Genomic DNA, 16,761 nt, shown 5'->3' on the forward strand with positions numbered 1-16,761 from the left:
AGATCTCTTGACTCCATGACTTTCTGTGGCCTTTTTAAAATGAACAGATATGTACCCTTAACTTCTATGAGATGTATATAGTGTGCATCTCTCAAATTTATTTGGCCATAAGCTTTTTTGAAGTTTTCTGAACTTTACAAGAGGTGAATGTTCCAGGGAACCTACTGTGTGAAGCAGTGGGCTAGATTTAATCAGATGTTGTACTCAAACAAAACTTCAGTTTGGCAAACCAAAAATCTGATGTTGCCAGCATCTGGATACAAAGAGCTAGTATAAAGTAGTGATGTGATACATTCTGCATTTAGAAATATTTGCGCTGAAAGTGTCTGAGTTACTTCTTCTCATTTCTCTTCCAGGTGTTTTATTCCAAACGTCTATGCTGCTTTGTTCACTGCAGCTCTTGTTCCTTTGACGTGCCTCGTGGTGGTGTTCGTGGTGTTCATCCATGCCTACCAGGTGAAGCCACAGTGGAAAGCATATGATGATGTCTTCAGAGGAAGGACAAATGCTGCAGGTTTGAAAGGAACTATATTTGTACTTTGGAGATGGAAACGCTTTAATGGTGGGAAAATGTCACTGAATTTTTTTTATCAAAAAGAGGGAAGTTCGGCTCATCTTTCAGCTCTGAAGCCACAAGTTAAGCTATAGCTCTCCAGTTTCTCCTGCTTCTTGGTACCTCTGATGTCTCCCTTTCTTCAGGGCTCTGTAGGTTTTATTGTTCATTCCAATTTTGTCCTTAAGATATTGATATCCAAGTAAATGAGTCGCAGCCTTGGGAGCCACTTCCCAAGCTTTCATTAAGTGAAGCAATAATAACTTGTGTTCTACCTGTGAAATCTGTTCATTTCTCTCCGATTCTGAGACTTCTGCACAGTTTAACAAACCTCCGCAGTGCTCATGAGTGTGCATGCAGAGCTCTGGTTGTGCTGACAGATGTTTAAAAACATGTAATCAGACAGCTACATGAGTGGCTACACATGTCTGGTTACTTAAGAGTGCAAGCCTTTCTAGTTCAAATTGGCTTTCACTACAGCTCATTTTTTCCCTTTGAATCATACCTAACAGAGGTTTTTATGATCTGATTCTTTTTATTATTGTTTTTAGACTAGAGTCCCTCAGGAATTTTCTTAACTAGAAGCAATAGCCACACACCTACATACAGAAAATGCTCTGTAAAATGTTATGTGAGTGACTGGGATATTAGGGAGCAGCTTAAGAGCTGGGAGTAGAGGATCCCTCTTGGGCCAATGAGGAACAGAAGTCTTCTTTTTTCTAAAGTTTTACAAGTCTAAAGCCAAATGAATGACAGTCTTAGAGGAATTCCTCACGTTTTAAGTGCTTGTCAAAGTTTAAGCAAGTAGCATATATAAGGTCTCTAGAATAGTGTCTAATACATTTTTAGGGGCTCAGTAGCTACAGGGCGTCACTCTAATGTAATGCAGTTCTAGTTCCTGAACTTGATCAGTTAATATGCAAAAGGATTTTCCTTGTAGTATAAAGAAAAGACACTCGTTTGTATTACTTTGTGGGATAGTTTGTAGCATAGCAGTATCTAGCCATCTCTTTTCTAATTCTTTCTCATTTAGCATGCAATCATTGTGTTGGCAGAATTTTCTTTTTTTTCTGAGACAGGGTCTTACTCTGTCACCCAGCTTGGAGTGCAGTGGCATGATCTTGGCTCACGGCAGCCTCTGCCTATAAGATTCAAGCAATTCTCCTTCCTCAGCCTCTTGAGTAGCTGGGACTACATTCATGTGCCACCATGCCTGGCCAACTTTTGTATTTTCAGTGGAGATGGGGTTTCACCACATTGCCCAGGCTGGTCTTGAACTCCTGAGCTCAGGCGATCCACCTGCTTCAGCCTCCCAAAGTGCTAGGATGACAGGCGTGAGCCACCACGCCCAGCCGAGGAATATTGTTTAAGGTTAATTAATTAATCTTAACTCCTTTAATAAAAAATATTCAATGTATAAATTCTACTTTTTCACGGGACACAGAAGTTATCTAGAAGCTATGCTTGTTTTTTCAGTTTTAATACTCTTTATTTTTTAAATTACTTTTTAAAAATGTAACTTCTTTCTTTTTACATTTATTTTAGGTTGAGAGGTATATGTGCATGTTTATTATGTAGATAAATTGCATGTCACCTCATGGGGGTTTGGTGTACAGATTATTTCACCACCCAGGTAATAAGCACAGTATCCAATAGGTAGTTTTTAAGTCCTCACCCTCCTCTTTCCCTCTACCCTCAAGTAGGCCCCAGTGTCTCTTATTCCCGTCTTTGTGTCTATATGTACTCAATATTTACTCCCACTTATTAGTGAGAACATGTGGTATTTGGTTTTCTCTTCCTCTGTTAGTTCACTTAGGATAACAGCCTCCAGCTCCATCTGTGTTGCTGCAAAGGAGATGATCTCGGTTTTTTATGACTGCATAATATTCCATGGTGTATATGTACCACATTTTCTTTATCCAGTCTACCACTGATGGGTATTTAGGTTGATTTCATGTCTTTGCTATTGTGAATAGTGCTGTGATTAACATATGTGTGCATGTGTCTTCATGGTAGAACAATTTCTATTCCTTTGGGTACATACCCAGCAATGGGATTCCTGAGTCAAGTAGTAATTCTGCTTTGAGTTCTTTGAGAGACAGCCAAACTGCATTTCACAATGGCTGAACTAATTTACATTCCTACCAGTAGTGTATAAGCAAGCATTCCCTTTTCGCTACAGCCTTGCCAGCATCTGTTATTTTTTAACTTTTTAATGATAGCCATTCTGACTGGTGTGAAGTGGTATCTCATTGTGGTTTTGATTTGCATTTCTCTAATGATTAGCAATGTTGGGCATTTTCATATGCTTGTTGGCTTCTTCATGGCACATATGTCTTCTTTTGAAAAGTATCTGTTCATGTATTTTGCCCACTTTTTAATGGGCTTGTTTGGTTTTTGCCTGTTCATTTGTTTAGGTTCCTCATAGGTTCTGGATATTAGACCATTGTGAGCGCATAGTTTGCAAAAATTTTCTCCCATTCTGTAGGTTGCCTTTTTACTGTGTTGATAATTTCTTTTGCTGTGCAGGAGCTCTTTAGTTTAATTAGGTCCCATTTCAGAAGCTATGCTTTTAATCAACTTGGGATTCATCTTATTAAAATGTACATTCTTTTGGGGGGAGAATGGTGGTTTGTTTTTTCCTCTAAGTGACAAGATTTATTGTTTTATATATAATGTAAAAGTGCCAATGTTTGCATGTTTTCAATAATGCTAACATAGGGGCCTAACATAGTGACTTAATTCTTTGAATGCCTAAATCACCCCTGCACCTCTTGAATATGCTTCATTACTGATATAGTAGATAAAACAGTACCCTGATTATCAGAAAAAGATAGCCCTCAAGCATTGAATATAAGGCAAAAGTTCCAGCACAGTTGTATCTTAATGAGGGAACCCTCTCTTGCAATAAAATGTGAATAGAAGCATTGCCCTATTGTTGTGTTACAAATTTAAAAAGTGTGATATTTCTAATTCCCCTATTCCCATGGCAATTTATTCTAATAGTCATTATACTTGGACTTCCACAGCAGTTTTCTGATTGGTATCTCTGGTTCTACTCTTTTTCTTCTCCATTTCATTATCTCAGATGTCTACATTTTAAAAATATAAAGTGGATTTTCTCATTCTCCAGCATTTCAGTCAAGGTTTCTCTCATTGCCCCAAAAAAAAGTCCAGTCCCTTTAGCTTACAAGAGTTTCCACGGTCTGACCCAGGACCATCTTTCCATTCCCAAGTTAGTTACTATTATCCTGCATTCTGACATGCCAATCTATTTACTTTTTCCTAAATTTTCCTGATATTGCCATCTTTGCTTATGTAAAGAAATCTTTACTTTGAGCTCCTCCTCATTAGTTGGTAAAACCCACGTGCTCAATAAGTGATATGGGAAAATGTAGATGAGTGAGAGACAGATGCAAGGGGCTTATCACCTTCCCATATTCTTTATTAGCTCTACAAAGCTTTCCAAAATAACTTCAGAATCTAAACAACAGTGATGTGCTTGACAATCACAAGTTAATTCTCCTGGACATCACTTTACTTCTTTACAGAAATTCTAGAAACTTTCAATATTCTCCCCCTTTTGTGAAGCCTTAGGAATTGCCTCTTTATGGAATCACACCAAATAAGAATTACTCATTCCCTTCTTTATGCCTTTAAAGTATTTGTCCCTTTAGTCATTGTAGCACTTATCTTAGAATGGAGTGGTCACTTGTTTTGGTGTGTGTGGTTGGTGGATTTCCTTAATAAATTATTAATTCCTTGAGGGCAGGAACCATTTAGTATTCATCTCTGTATCCCCAGGGCCTTGCAGAGTGCTTAGTGGATAGCAGGAGCATAATTAATGTTTATTAATTAAATGAATAAATTAATAATCATCAATGTACCACAAAATTATATAACTGTAAAAATGGATACCCAAGCTAAAGATAGCATTAAGAAGAGAAACTGTAATATTATCAAAGTAGAAATTAAATGACTTAATTCTCTGATCTGTTTGTAAATATTCCTCAAAAGTTATTATTATTAGGACTATTTTTATAAGAAATATTTTTTAAAGCTTTACCTCTATAATTCCCAAAACTACATGTTCAGCTTTGCCCTCAACCTGATCTTTTGTGTTTTTATATTCAACATACTATAACTCACCTCTACTTGAATATGCTCCACTTAACTCAAATTCAAAATTTCTTTTTTTTTCTTTTCCAGATAATTCTTTTTTTATTTTTAATTATACTTTAAGTTCTAGGGTACATGTGCACAACGTGCAGGTTTGTTACATAGGTATATGTGTGCCATGTTGGTTTGCTGCACCCATCAACTCATCATTTACATTAGGTATTTCTTCTATTTACTCTACCACGGAGCACTTGACACTCTCTTTGAAACTTTTTGCTAAAATTCTCTTGTGCTGACTTGTAAAATATCCAGTTAAGGTGGTACTGTAAATTCACGTTTTGCCTTCTGCCTTACTGTATATACAGAATAGCCAAAGAATAACGTATAACAAAAGAATGTTAAAAATACCGTGGGCATCTCTATAGAACAGAAATCAAGCAGAAACACCAAATGTACTGGTAGACTAGGCCAAAACCATAGACCTGATATCTCCTGGGGTCCAGAAGCAGGTAGATGCAGGACATTTTGTTAGGCTCAAAATCTTCCATGATTTCTGTAGAACTGAGCTCCAAGCTAATCACTCTTTTTGTGGATTAAATGTGCCTGACAACAGAAGCAACTTTGCATCACATTTGTTCACTGGTTATAATGAATACAAGTAACCATCCCTTACACCGTGTATTTTGAGTGACTTTTTTGTTCTCAACATCCCTTAATTTCAAACAGAGTTCAAATAAACTCAGTGAAACCCAAAGGAATGGGGAGAACAAAGAATAAGCACCTCATAAATGGAATACACTCAGTGCTATAGATGCCCACTGTCAACCCCTTCCCTCCCTGAGCATGGCCTGGGACAGGACAACTCGGCTTTTTGTGGCCCTTTGACTGCCATGAACCAAATTGTTGAAGGTCAGTGGCTCCTAATGAGAATCACTTGCCTCCTCTTCCCTTCAGTGGGTGGATGTGCAGTGAGAATGAGTTATGATAAAGGTATGTACCTGAACTAAATTTCAATATCTCAAGCAGCATTTTAAACAAAGCCTGTAATTTTCGGGCTTGGTTTTGATCTCTGGCAACGATAAGCATGTCTCTCTTTTTAGGCTCATTAGAATTTACTGACTCCTTTCTGATTCATGATCCAGTTCTTATATGAGGAATGATTCATGGATCAGGAGAGGAAAATTCATTTCAATCAAGAAAGAAAGTAGATGATTACAAATCCCCTTCTTCTAAAAATCCCACACATAGGTTTCAATATGATATATGAAAATGGAAATGTGGCTGGATCCAGCTAGTCATGTAATGTGAACCTGAGGTATTTAGAATCTCCTGGTACTGTAATGGCCACATCTCTTACATGGGAGCATTATTTGAGGATGAATGCTTCCATTTCTTCAACCTTAGAGTGAACAACAATAGTAATATAAATCAATATTTTATTATTATTATAAAAATTATTGAAAACTTTTTATAGTGAATATTGTAAATGCTCATCCCTTACATCCTAAAGTTGAGTGCCTTTTTTACTCTTGTCGTTTTTAAAATTTCAAATAGAGCAAAGGAAATGAAATCCAAAGGAAAAAGAGGGAAAGGAAAGAGCTCCTGGTAAATAAAATAAACTGTGTTTCAGTCTCCAAAGATGGCTGCCATCAGTTACTTTTCTCCTTTTATGTAGGTGCTACTCCTCACATCAAAGGATGGAGACTAGTTCTCATCCTTTTACATCTGGACTGTCTTTGGACTTGCTTAGACCAATGTAATGTGATGGAAGTGATGCTTTTTCATAATGGGCCTAGACTTTAAGATGAATGGCAGTTTTAGATTCCTTCCTCTTGGAAGCCACCATCTAAGTTCAATTACCCAGAGACCACCACGGTGGTAGAAACCCCACGCTGGCCATGTGCAGCAGACATGTGCAAAGGCAGGCTCAGCCAGCCTCCAGTTGTGTCAGGCAAACCAGCTCTGATTCCAGACATGGACATGTGAGTGAAGAAGGCTTCTTGTAGGTTCCATCCCCAATGGACACCACACAGAGTTGAAAACCTGCCTAGCCCAGATTGCAGAATTGGGAGAAATAGTACATTATTTTAAGTCACTAAGTTTGGTGCTAGCTTATTTGAAGCAGTCAGTAGCTGAAACATTCTGGTGTTTCAATATCCTCATTATTCTCACATCAAACTTGTAAGTATGTCATTGTCCTTTTAAATGTTACTGCTTGCAGAAACCTTCAGGATTTATAAATAAAAATGGGAAAACATGATATGATTTTTTTTCCTAAAGCAGAATTGGGGCTTCTGCTAAAGTAAAGTAAAAGTGATCTTACCCAGTAACAGTATGTACTTGAATAGGATCCAGAATGACCAACATTACAGGTTTCACATGTCCTTGGCAGTTAGATGCCTGTTTGCAGTCTACTCCAAGCTCCATTTCTGAAAATAACATTTTAAAAAAACAATGCCTTGGGGCCTAAGGAAAACCCCAGCTTCTCACTCAACCGTGAACAGACACTCCCACTCAAGCTTGAAAAAATCTTTGTGAAGCACAGTTCACTCTTCCCACATTTTGCCAATAGTGGTGGGGGAAATCCCACATGTTAAAAACACATACATATGGATGCCCATTCTCTGCTTAGGTTTTTGATCTCAATCCTCGAAGATTCATATCAGAAATCTCTCTGCCTGGAAGATGATGTGTAGTCATTCAGTGTTTGTTTTCTTCATTATTGTTTCTGAAAACACTTAGGATTTGATACTGCTCATGAAAAACTCCTAGAACAATAACATCAGGAGTTGCCTAAGGCTTTGCACATCATCATGAAAAGTAAAAAGGAAAATCATATTTTTGAGAGAAGGTTTAAATTTCTGTTGAAACACCCCTGATTTACAATGTAGCCAAGAAGGAAAAGGGGCTGACCACTTGTGGCAGACCGGGCCTTTCTAGAACTCAGGTTTCCTGGATTTCTTACTTTAGTGAGCTGCCTTTTACCAGTCTCAATTGGAGATGGATGAGGACAAAGGTAATCCCCAACTCTGGCTATTTCAGTACTAAACTATTATGTTTAATTGACATCTTTTTTCTAGGTGGACAGAGGGCATAGAGCATGGATATGGGACGGGGGTGAGAGAAAGAGTAAAGGGCTGGCACTGCATGTAAGTGCAGGTGTGCATCTCCCTTTGCACCTTGGTGGTCCACATCATGGTTATTGTCATCATCACTGCCACCCATTACGATTCACCATTCATCAGGCACTGTGTTAAGAATTTCACGTATGTTATCTCAGTTTAATATATATATATATGTACATAATATCTGTACATATTTATGGGGTACATGTGACATTTTGTAACATACATAGAATGTGTAATGATCATGTCAGGGTATTTGGGATGTCCATCACCTTGAATATTTATCATTTCAATGTGCTGGGGTCATTTCAAGTTATCTCTTCTAGCTATTTTGAAATATACAATACATGTTGTTAACTATAGTCAACTAGTTTGCTATCAAACATTTTATCTCAATTTTTACATGAAGCCTATTAAGCAGGTATGATTTCCTCTAGTCAGACAAGGAAATCAAGGAAATGAGAGGCTTAGAAACGTTTTCACATTTACAGGGCTGCTCAGTTGTGGGATTAGAATCAGAGGTTGATTCACAAGCTCTCCAGAGCTGCCATTGTTGTTCACATCAATACTTCTGCCCTTACCATTTTGTTTTCAAAACTCTTCTTGGTAATAGTGACATGTAAACATTAAATTTTAAACTTAGAGAACTCTAATTTCATAAAAGTAGTATTAGACTTTACACCCAGCTCCGCACACCCTGCAAAAAAAAAAAAAAAAAAAAAAACTTGAAGTGATCAGGGTTGGAAAATTACTCCTTCATCTTCTACTTAATCTTCTGATTTCCAAGAAAGATTGCCCCTCTTTATGGTACCAAAACATCCCTAGTTTTCCTCACTATTCTCATATGTAATGCAGGTGTAATAACACTATTTAATTTCGTACAGTTGTGTGAAAGATAAAATTTTAATTCATATAAGTATTTAGTATAGTTCCTGAAACATACTAAGTCCTCAATATGTGTTAGTATTTTTATTAGTATAAGAACCCTTTCAATATGTAATTGGTACAGAATGCAGTCAGATATGTAACTCCTTTCTTCTCTACACTTCATCAATATCTCTCAAATGTTCCCCTCCCTTTCTTCATGATTTTGCCTGGTGTATTAGCTCAGGCTGCCATACAAAATACCATAGACTGGGTGTCCTAAACAACAGACATTTATTTGTCACAGTTCCAGAGACTGGAAGTCCAAGATCAAGGCGTCAGCTGATTCAGGTCCTGGCGAGGCTTGCATGGACATTTTGCTCTCTCCTCTCATGGATGAGAGAGAACCCTCTCATGTCTCTTCTTATAAGGACACTAATTCCATCATGGGGGCTCCACCTTCATGAGATTATTACCTCCTGAAGGCCTCATCTCCAAATACCATTGCATTGGGAGTTAGGGCTTCGACATACAAATTTGGGGGATGGAGGAAACAATTCAGTCCATAGCACCTTGGTGATGTCTCCCATCATCTCATCCTTAGACTATTACAGCTGTCTTGAGACCAATATTGTTCAATTCTTGTCTATCCCCATTCCACACTGAAGCATTCTAAAAAGCAAAATTGGCCATGTCATAAAATCATCTAATGACAATCATTAGGCTATAGAATAAAAGGAAAAAATCAGGAGCTGGGCATGGTGACTCACGCCCGTAATCCCAGCACTTTGAGAGGCCGAGGCAGGTGAATCATCTGAGGTCAGGAGTTCGAGACCAGCCTGGCCAACATAGTGTGAAACCCCGTCTCTACAAAAAATACAAAAATTAGCCGGGCATGGTGGCAGACGCCTGTAATCCCAGCTACTTGGGAGGCTGAGGCAGGAAAATGTCTTGAACCCGGGAGGCAGAGGTTGCAGTGAGCCAAGATCATGCCATTGTACTTCAGCCTGAGCAACAAGAGTGAAACTCTGTCTCAAAAGTAAATAAATAAATAAAAATTTAAAAAATAAAATAAATATTCACTACTTCTCCACATAGTCTTTAATGTCCTAACCATACTTAACTAGTGCTGCCACCTAAAAGTGATATGACTTCTGATAAAACTTGACTTAAATAGCACAACTAAATTCACTGTTGCTTGCTGAGTTCATCACTTATGGTGATGAGAGAGGAGACGGAATAGAATTGAAACTAATTTCCATCTTGATACCCATGATAAATAGGCTTCAGTAAGGTGTTAGTGGAAGATATGCTAATGTGATACACACTTAAAGCTAATATCTGAGGGTAACAAAGATGTTGTTGTTTAGGTGTGTTGCACACTCTTTAACCCTTAATGTGGCTGGCATCTCTTATTGACATGTGCATATCACTGCCATGCCATACCATGTTTGACCCAGAGAATTAATGAAACATTCCCATTGTTTATCAGTTTTGTATTCAGGCTAAGTAAGTTTCCTATCTATTTCCTTGCCATTGTTCTCCAAATTAATAATAAATTTTAATTTTCCTGGCAGATCCTATTTTTTTTCTGAGACAGAGTCTTACTGTATTGCCCAGGATGGAGTGCCGTGGCACAATCATAGCTCCCTGCAGCTTCAATCTCCTGGGCTCAAGAGATACTCCCACTTTGGGCTCCCGAGTAGCCAGGACTATAAACACGTGCTACCATGACCAGCTAATTTTTAAAATTTTTTTTACAGAGCATTTTTAAAAGAGCACTTTTTAAAAAATGGATGACCGAAGTCTTCCATTCTACTCTTGGGTAATGAAAATACAGTTACCGATTTTTTAAAATGTATCTCTCTAAGATTTGTATTCAGAAATAGTATGTATAAAACTTGACTAGAGAGTAGAAAAAATTTTTGAGGCTGTTTTATCTTGGAATAAGTATGGCAACGAAAGCACTGTGTTTCTCTCTCAACCTCGTCTATGAGCCACTTTAGTTGGTATCAACATGGTGATACTGTAACACACTATGGCTCTCTCTCCCAGGTTCTTACCTGTATTTCCATTCTTGGTTTGCAACTTTTTCCATGTATTATTTGTTGTTATTTTCATTATTTAAAGTTACCTCTAATTTATGATTCAGTGCCTACATAGTTCTTTAAGGAAATATATAGTCTACAATCCTTTGTATGATCATACTTTAATTACATGAATCAACTGGTACATTATTAAAGAGGAGATCCGGAAATAAAGGAAAATGGGTTTACCAGTACTAGAGAAACAGGAAGTAGGGAAAGGTAATTTGGGGAATTAGCAATTGAATCATAAATTTCTTTAAAAATGAATGGTTAGCCATCATTCTCAGCAAAGTGTCGCAAGGACAGAAAACCAAACACCGCATGTTCTCACTCATAGATGGGAATTGAACAATGAGAACACTTGGACACAGGAAGGGGGACATCACACACTGGGGCCTGTCATGGGGTAGGGGGGATGGGGGAGGGATAGCATTAGGAGATATACCTAATGTAAATGACGAGTTAATGGGTGCAGCACACCAACATGGCACATGTATACATATGTAACAAACCTGCATGTTGTGCACATGTACCCTAGAACTTAAAGTATAATAATAAAAAGAAAAAAAATTAATGGTTAGCACAATACCCATGATCTAATGCTGTACTCAACAGTTTACATATTATAAAACTCAAGTGAATAGAAGAAAGTGACGTTTTTACAATATGTTGTTTTTTGTTTTTTGTTTTTTGTTTTCAGAGAAAAGTATACCATATTAAAGGTGAAGTGTGAATATCACTGGGCCAGAGGCGGTAACAAACTTTGATCCTCACAGAAGTACTCTCTCAGTTGCTTTAGCATAACTGAAATAGCCTGCCTCATTAAGTATCACTTTCCTTGCAGTCAGTTGCTAAAGATCACTCCTCTAATAAGATGTCAGAAATATTTTTGTTCTTCACATATTTTGTACTTCAAGGCCACTATGTCCCTGCTTAATAATTTCTTTTGCTGGGTACAGTGGCATGCACATATAGTCCCAGCTACTCAGGTGGCTGAGGTGAGATGATCACTGGAGCCCAGGAGTTCAAGACTGTAGTGCACTGTGAGTGTGCTTGTGAATAGCCACTGCATTCTGGCTTGGGCAACATGAGAGAAATAAATATTGTTTTACAAAATAATTTTTCCTATTTTCGAATCTGTGTTTTTTGCTTATACCATCATTTTCCTATTCATGTTACTGTGGTTACCATTTCTTATGATCTTCTCTCTTCCCAGGCCACCATTTTCCTCTCCACATCTCTCTGAAGACACCATCTTTCTGTCCCCTTCTGCCGGTTTCTTACTCCTACTTGTTCTTCATCCTCATTGTAACCTCCCTTCCTTCCACCCTTAGTTGTTCTTGAAAAATACAATCTGGAACCTCAGATTGGAACTGTTAAGGATATTTTCACCAGCCCCCCTGATTTCCTCACTAGCTTGGCTTCCTCCTTAAGAAATTTTGCCAATCACCCAACCTACAGAATAGGAGAAAAATTTTGCAATCCACCCATCTGACAAAGAGCTAATATCCAGAATCTACAAAGAACTTAAACAAATTTATAAGAAAAAAACAAACAACCCCATCAAAAAGTGGGCAAAGGATATGAACAGACATTTCTCAAAAGAAGACATTTATGTGGCCAACAGGCACATGAAAAAATGCTCATCATCACTGGTCATTAGAGAAATGCAAATCAAAACCACAGTGAAATACCATCTCACGCCAGTTAGAATGGCGATCATTAAAAAGTCAGGAAAGAACAGGTGCTGGAGAGGATGTGGAGAAATAGGAACGCTTTTACACTGCTGGTGGGAGTGTAAATTAGTTCAACCATTGTGGAAGACAGTGTGGTGATTCCTCAAGGATCTAAAACTAGAAATACCATTTGACCCAGCGATCCCATTACTGGGTATATACCCGAAGGATTATAAATCATGCTACTATGAAGACACATGCACACATATGTTTATTGAGGCACTATTCACAATAGCAAAGACTTGGAACCAACCCAAATGTCCAACAATGATAGACTGGATTAAGAAAATGTGGCACATATACACCATGGAATACTATGCAGACATAAAAAAGGATGAGTTCATGTCCTTTGTGGGGACATGGATGAAGCTGGAAACCATCATTCTCAGCAAACTATCACAAGGACAGAAAAGCAAACACCACATGTTCTCACTTATAGGTGGAAGTTGAACAACGAGAACACTTGGACACAGGGTGGGGAACATCACACACCGGGGCCTGTCATGAAATGGGGGGCTGCAGGAAGGATAGCATTAGGAGAAATACCTAATGTAAATGATGAGTTGATGGGTGCAGCAAACCAACATGGCACATGTATACCTATGTAACAAACCTGCACGTTGTGCACATGTACCCTAGAACTTTAAGTACAGTTAAAAAATATTATATATGTATACACACATATATATAGAAAAAAGGAAATTTTGCCAATCACCAACCCACTCTATGCCACACAGTTCTCTTTTGTCAGCCAATTAGTGCTACTCTGTAACGGATACTTATTTATTATAAGTACTCTTAACTAAGCCATCTCTGCTTCTGAGACATCCTTTGGATTATTTTTAATTGATAAGTCTTAAGCGATCTTTGAAACAGATTCTACTGCCCTGAAGTCTGTGTTTTATACATTCTATCCTCACTGTCTAGTCAAGACATGAAAACAACATGCTGTTATCTCACACGACTTTCCTTATGTTCTCTGATCATTTCTCTTTGCCGTCTCTCTTCTTTGCCATTTTTCGTTTCATCTTAGATGAGAAAGTAAGTAGCTCATTCTCACCAAAGCCAGCTCTCCCAATTGTGCCTTTCATCTGTTTTTCCTACTCTTGGAACTTGTTTCATTGAATTTTCCACAACTGCCTCACATCTTAAATATTTCTCTCTCCTGTAGGTCTTTCTTGTCCATCTAGAAATATGTATCACTTTACACTGCCTAGAAGAGCTTACTCGTAATGCCGCTGCTTTATCAAATTACTGCCCTGCCTCTCTTCTTTCTTTAACCAACAACTACTCTTGAAGAGTAGTTCATACAAGTTGCCTGTTCTCATCACCTTGTGTTCACAGTTAAGCCTTCAGAGTACCTTGCTTATTCTCTTTCTTTCATCACTCATAACGTTGGACACCAAATCCACTGACCACTCTTCTCATCTGCATATCCTTCAATTCTTCTGTAGAAATCAGTACTGATAACCAGCCTTCCTTGAAAAGTCCATCTCTCTTGGTTTTCACGACACCCTATTCTTTTACAAGTATTTTCCTGCTAACTCCCAGGTCATAGCCCTTTCTTCTTATGCCTGAAAACTCTGAAGTATATGTATTTTCCAGGGATTGCCTTTGCATTTTTTATATCATAGTGATAATTTTCAGATCTATCAACTTGAGCCTAACTTCTCTCTCCAAATATAAGCTCACATTTTCAAATGTCTTTTGGATACATTCACTTGGGTTTCTCTCTGATCGCTTGTCCTTAAGATGTACAGATATTGTCATCAACTTTGCTCCTCTGCCTTATCCTAATTGCTCTGATCTCAGTGTTATTCTTTCACTCCTTTCTTTTCTTCTTCCTCTTGATACTTTTTCTGGTTTTCCTAACCTAAAAGCTAGGGTAATTTCTTTCACTTCATACTCATACTCTCAGATGAGTGGCTGTCAAACTAACTGATCATCAGAATTGCTTATGCTTTCAGAAATTATGGTTTGATGAGTCTCACTATAGACTTACTAAATTAGAATCTCTGGTGATGAAGTCCCACAATCTGTATATTTTTAAGCTCTCTTACTCTTTTCTGATTTGAGGGTACTACTAGAGATTCTGTCTCTAAATTTCTGTGCCTACCCCTTCATTACATTGCAGGGGCCACTCCTATGCCATTCCCCTACCTCAGGCCTTCATTACTGAGACCACAGCAATCCTTCCCTAACTGGTGTCCCTGCCTCTAGCATTCTCTCCACCAACCTATTTTCTTTCCTGTGAGTTTAAGCTATGTGAATATGCCACACCTCTTCTCCGAAATTTAAAATGGCACTCCATTTTTCTGTAAAGTAATTATGTATTGTTTAACCTGGCCCTCAATATTCCTTCATGACCTAGTGCTACAAACATCTCGTTACTCACCTTCATGGGAACCTTTAACACCAGCCAAAAGGAACAACTTACAGTAATTTATGCATTTGCTTTTTGCCTCTCTTTATGCTGCTCTCACTGCCTTTGCCTCAATATTTGTATGTTCAAATATGGCCCATCTTCATGGCCCAGCCAAAATTCTTTCTTCTTTCCCCAAAGTTCCCTGATAATCATCAATAGGAAGAACCTCTTGTTTTCCCTGAATTTTTATGTAACTTTTATAAATCTCTCTTATAATACTTATCTCCTACCTTTTCTTATAGGGTATATACAAATATATATGTAATATGCACAACTATATAATCTTTTTGTTGTTGTTTTTTGTTTTTTGAGACGGAGTCTCACTCTGTCGCCCAGGCTGGAGTACAGTGCACTCGACTTGATCTTGGCTCACTGCAACCTCCGCCTCCCGAGTTCAAGCGATTCTCCTGCCTCAGCCTCCCAAGTAGCTGAGACTGCAGGCATGCACCACTGTGCCCGGCTAATTTTTTTTTTTTTTTTATGGTAGAGATGGGCTTTCACCATGTTGACCAGGCTGGTCTTGCACTCCTGACCTGAGGTGATCCACCTGCCTCGGCCTCCCGAAGTGAATGTATATAATCATTGAGAGCAGATCCAGATGTAATTCAACATTTTATCTATCACATTTTATCTAATACATTTTGATGCTGAAGAAATATATTTCTTGAATAACAAACAGCAGCCAAAGTTTATCTGGAACTGTTCGAAGTGTTCCACTTTTCAACCAATAAATCCTCACAATCCACAAAACCTTATTTGGGAGGCACTAATAGTATATTCAATTTACAGATGAGGAAATTGAGCCTCAGAGCAGTTAAGTAACTAATACAAGGTCACACAGCTAGTGAAGGCCCTCAAGTAGCCTGGTTCCAGAGTCCATGCTTTTAATCATTCTGCCTTTTTTTGTGAATAAATTCCACCCAGTCATATTTTTTAACCTCAGTGCATTTTTTAACATTTAATTGGCTGAGGGCTTATATTCAAAAGAGATCTTTTTCTTTTAATTGAATTTGACAGAGGCAAGCTTTAAATTTTATCATAAATAGCCTTCGAGAAGGCAAATAATGTGATTTACAATTAGGATTCATCAACTTCAAGGAAGAAGTGGAAATTTGCTTATAGGAAAAATTTAAATGTGTTGCATAGTTACATAAAGCTCTGTTGTACAATTTTATAGAGACTGTAAAACAGAATACTTATAAATTAATAAGTAATTGAAATAAACATCATTTGATTCTTATACTCATTGAATTATACAATCTCCAAGACATGTGATTTCCTTCTCCCCATCTTTTTCCCCCAATGCCAGAGTATTTGCAAATAAATATTTAATCCATGGTTATATTAAAGCTGCTTTGCTACCATGAAAAAAAATTTTTTTTACAAACATCTTTCACAGACTTTGTAACTGGACAAACTCCACCCGGTAAAAAAATAAGTGCATGGAAACAAAACAAGAATGTAGCAAGATCTGCCTAGTTTATTAAACATGAAATTGAATAGTGGAAATAGCTCCATTTGGGAAGCTTAGGAAGCATAGTGACCAAAAAACTGTATGGCTGCTCATTCATTAGTCTTAAACTATTAATGTCAAACTCATAGTACCCAGAGTTAAATAAGATTCTGATGCTTCTACTCTTAAAAAGAAAAATGGAAGCATGTAGTTATGAGCCTGGGGCAAAAAGAAGCTCTAATATCTACCATATATTTGCTAATAATATCAGACACACCTGTGAACCAGTTTAACCATTAACAATTTAAACTCTACATTTAAAAAAGAGAAAAAAAATCCTAGAATTAAAATATCACAAAAATTAAGGTCTACATGTAATATTGACAAGCAAATACAGAA

General features: G+C 37.7%; 1 protein-coding gene across 12 annotated transcripts in view; it reads left to right on the forward strand.

The window, feature by feature from the left end:
- Positions 1–16,761, forward strand: part of ADGRV1 (adhesion G protein-coupled receptor V1) — a 605,641-nt gene that overhangs the window by 513,294 nt on the left and 75,586 nt on the right. For all 12 annotated transcript variants that reach the window (NR_003149.2, XM_017009963.3, XM_017009969.3 and 9 more), the window contains one exon: positions 357–514. Coding sequence is in view for 11 of the 12 variants with exons in the window: in XM_017009963.3 (XP_016865452.1) it covers positions 357–514 (158 nt within the window). In the remaining variant the exon portion in view is untranslated. The remainder of the gene's footprint in view (positions 1–356; positions 515–16,761) is intronic.

This window comes from Homo sapiens, chromosome 5 (genome assembly GCF_000001405.40).
Source record: "Homo sapiens chromosome 5, GRCh38.p14 Primary Assembly".
Taxonomy (NCBI): Eukaryota; Metazoa; Chordata; class Mammalia; order Primates; family Hominidae; genus Homo; species Homo sapiens.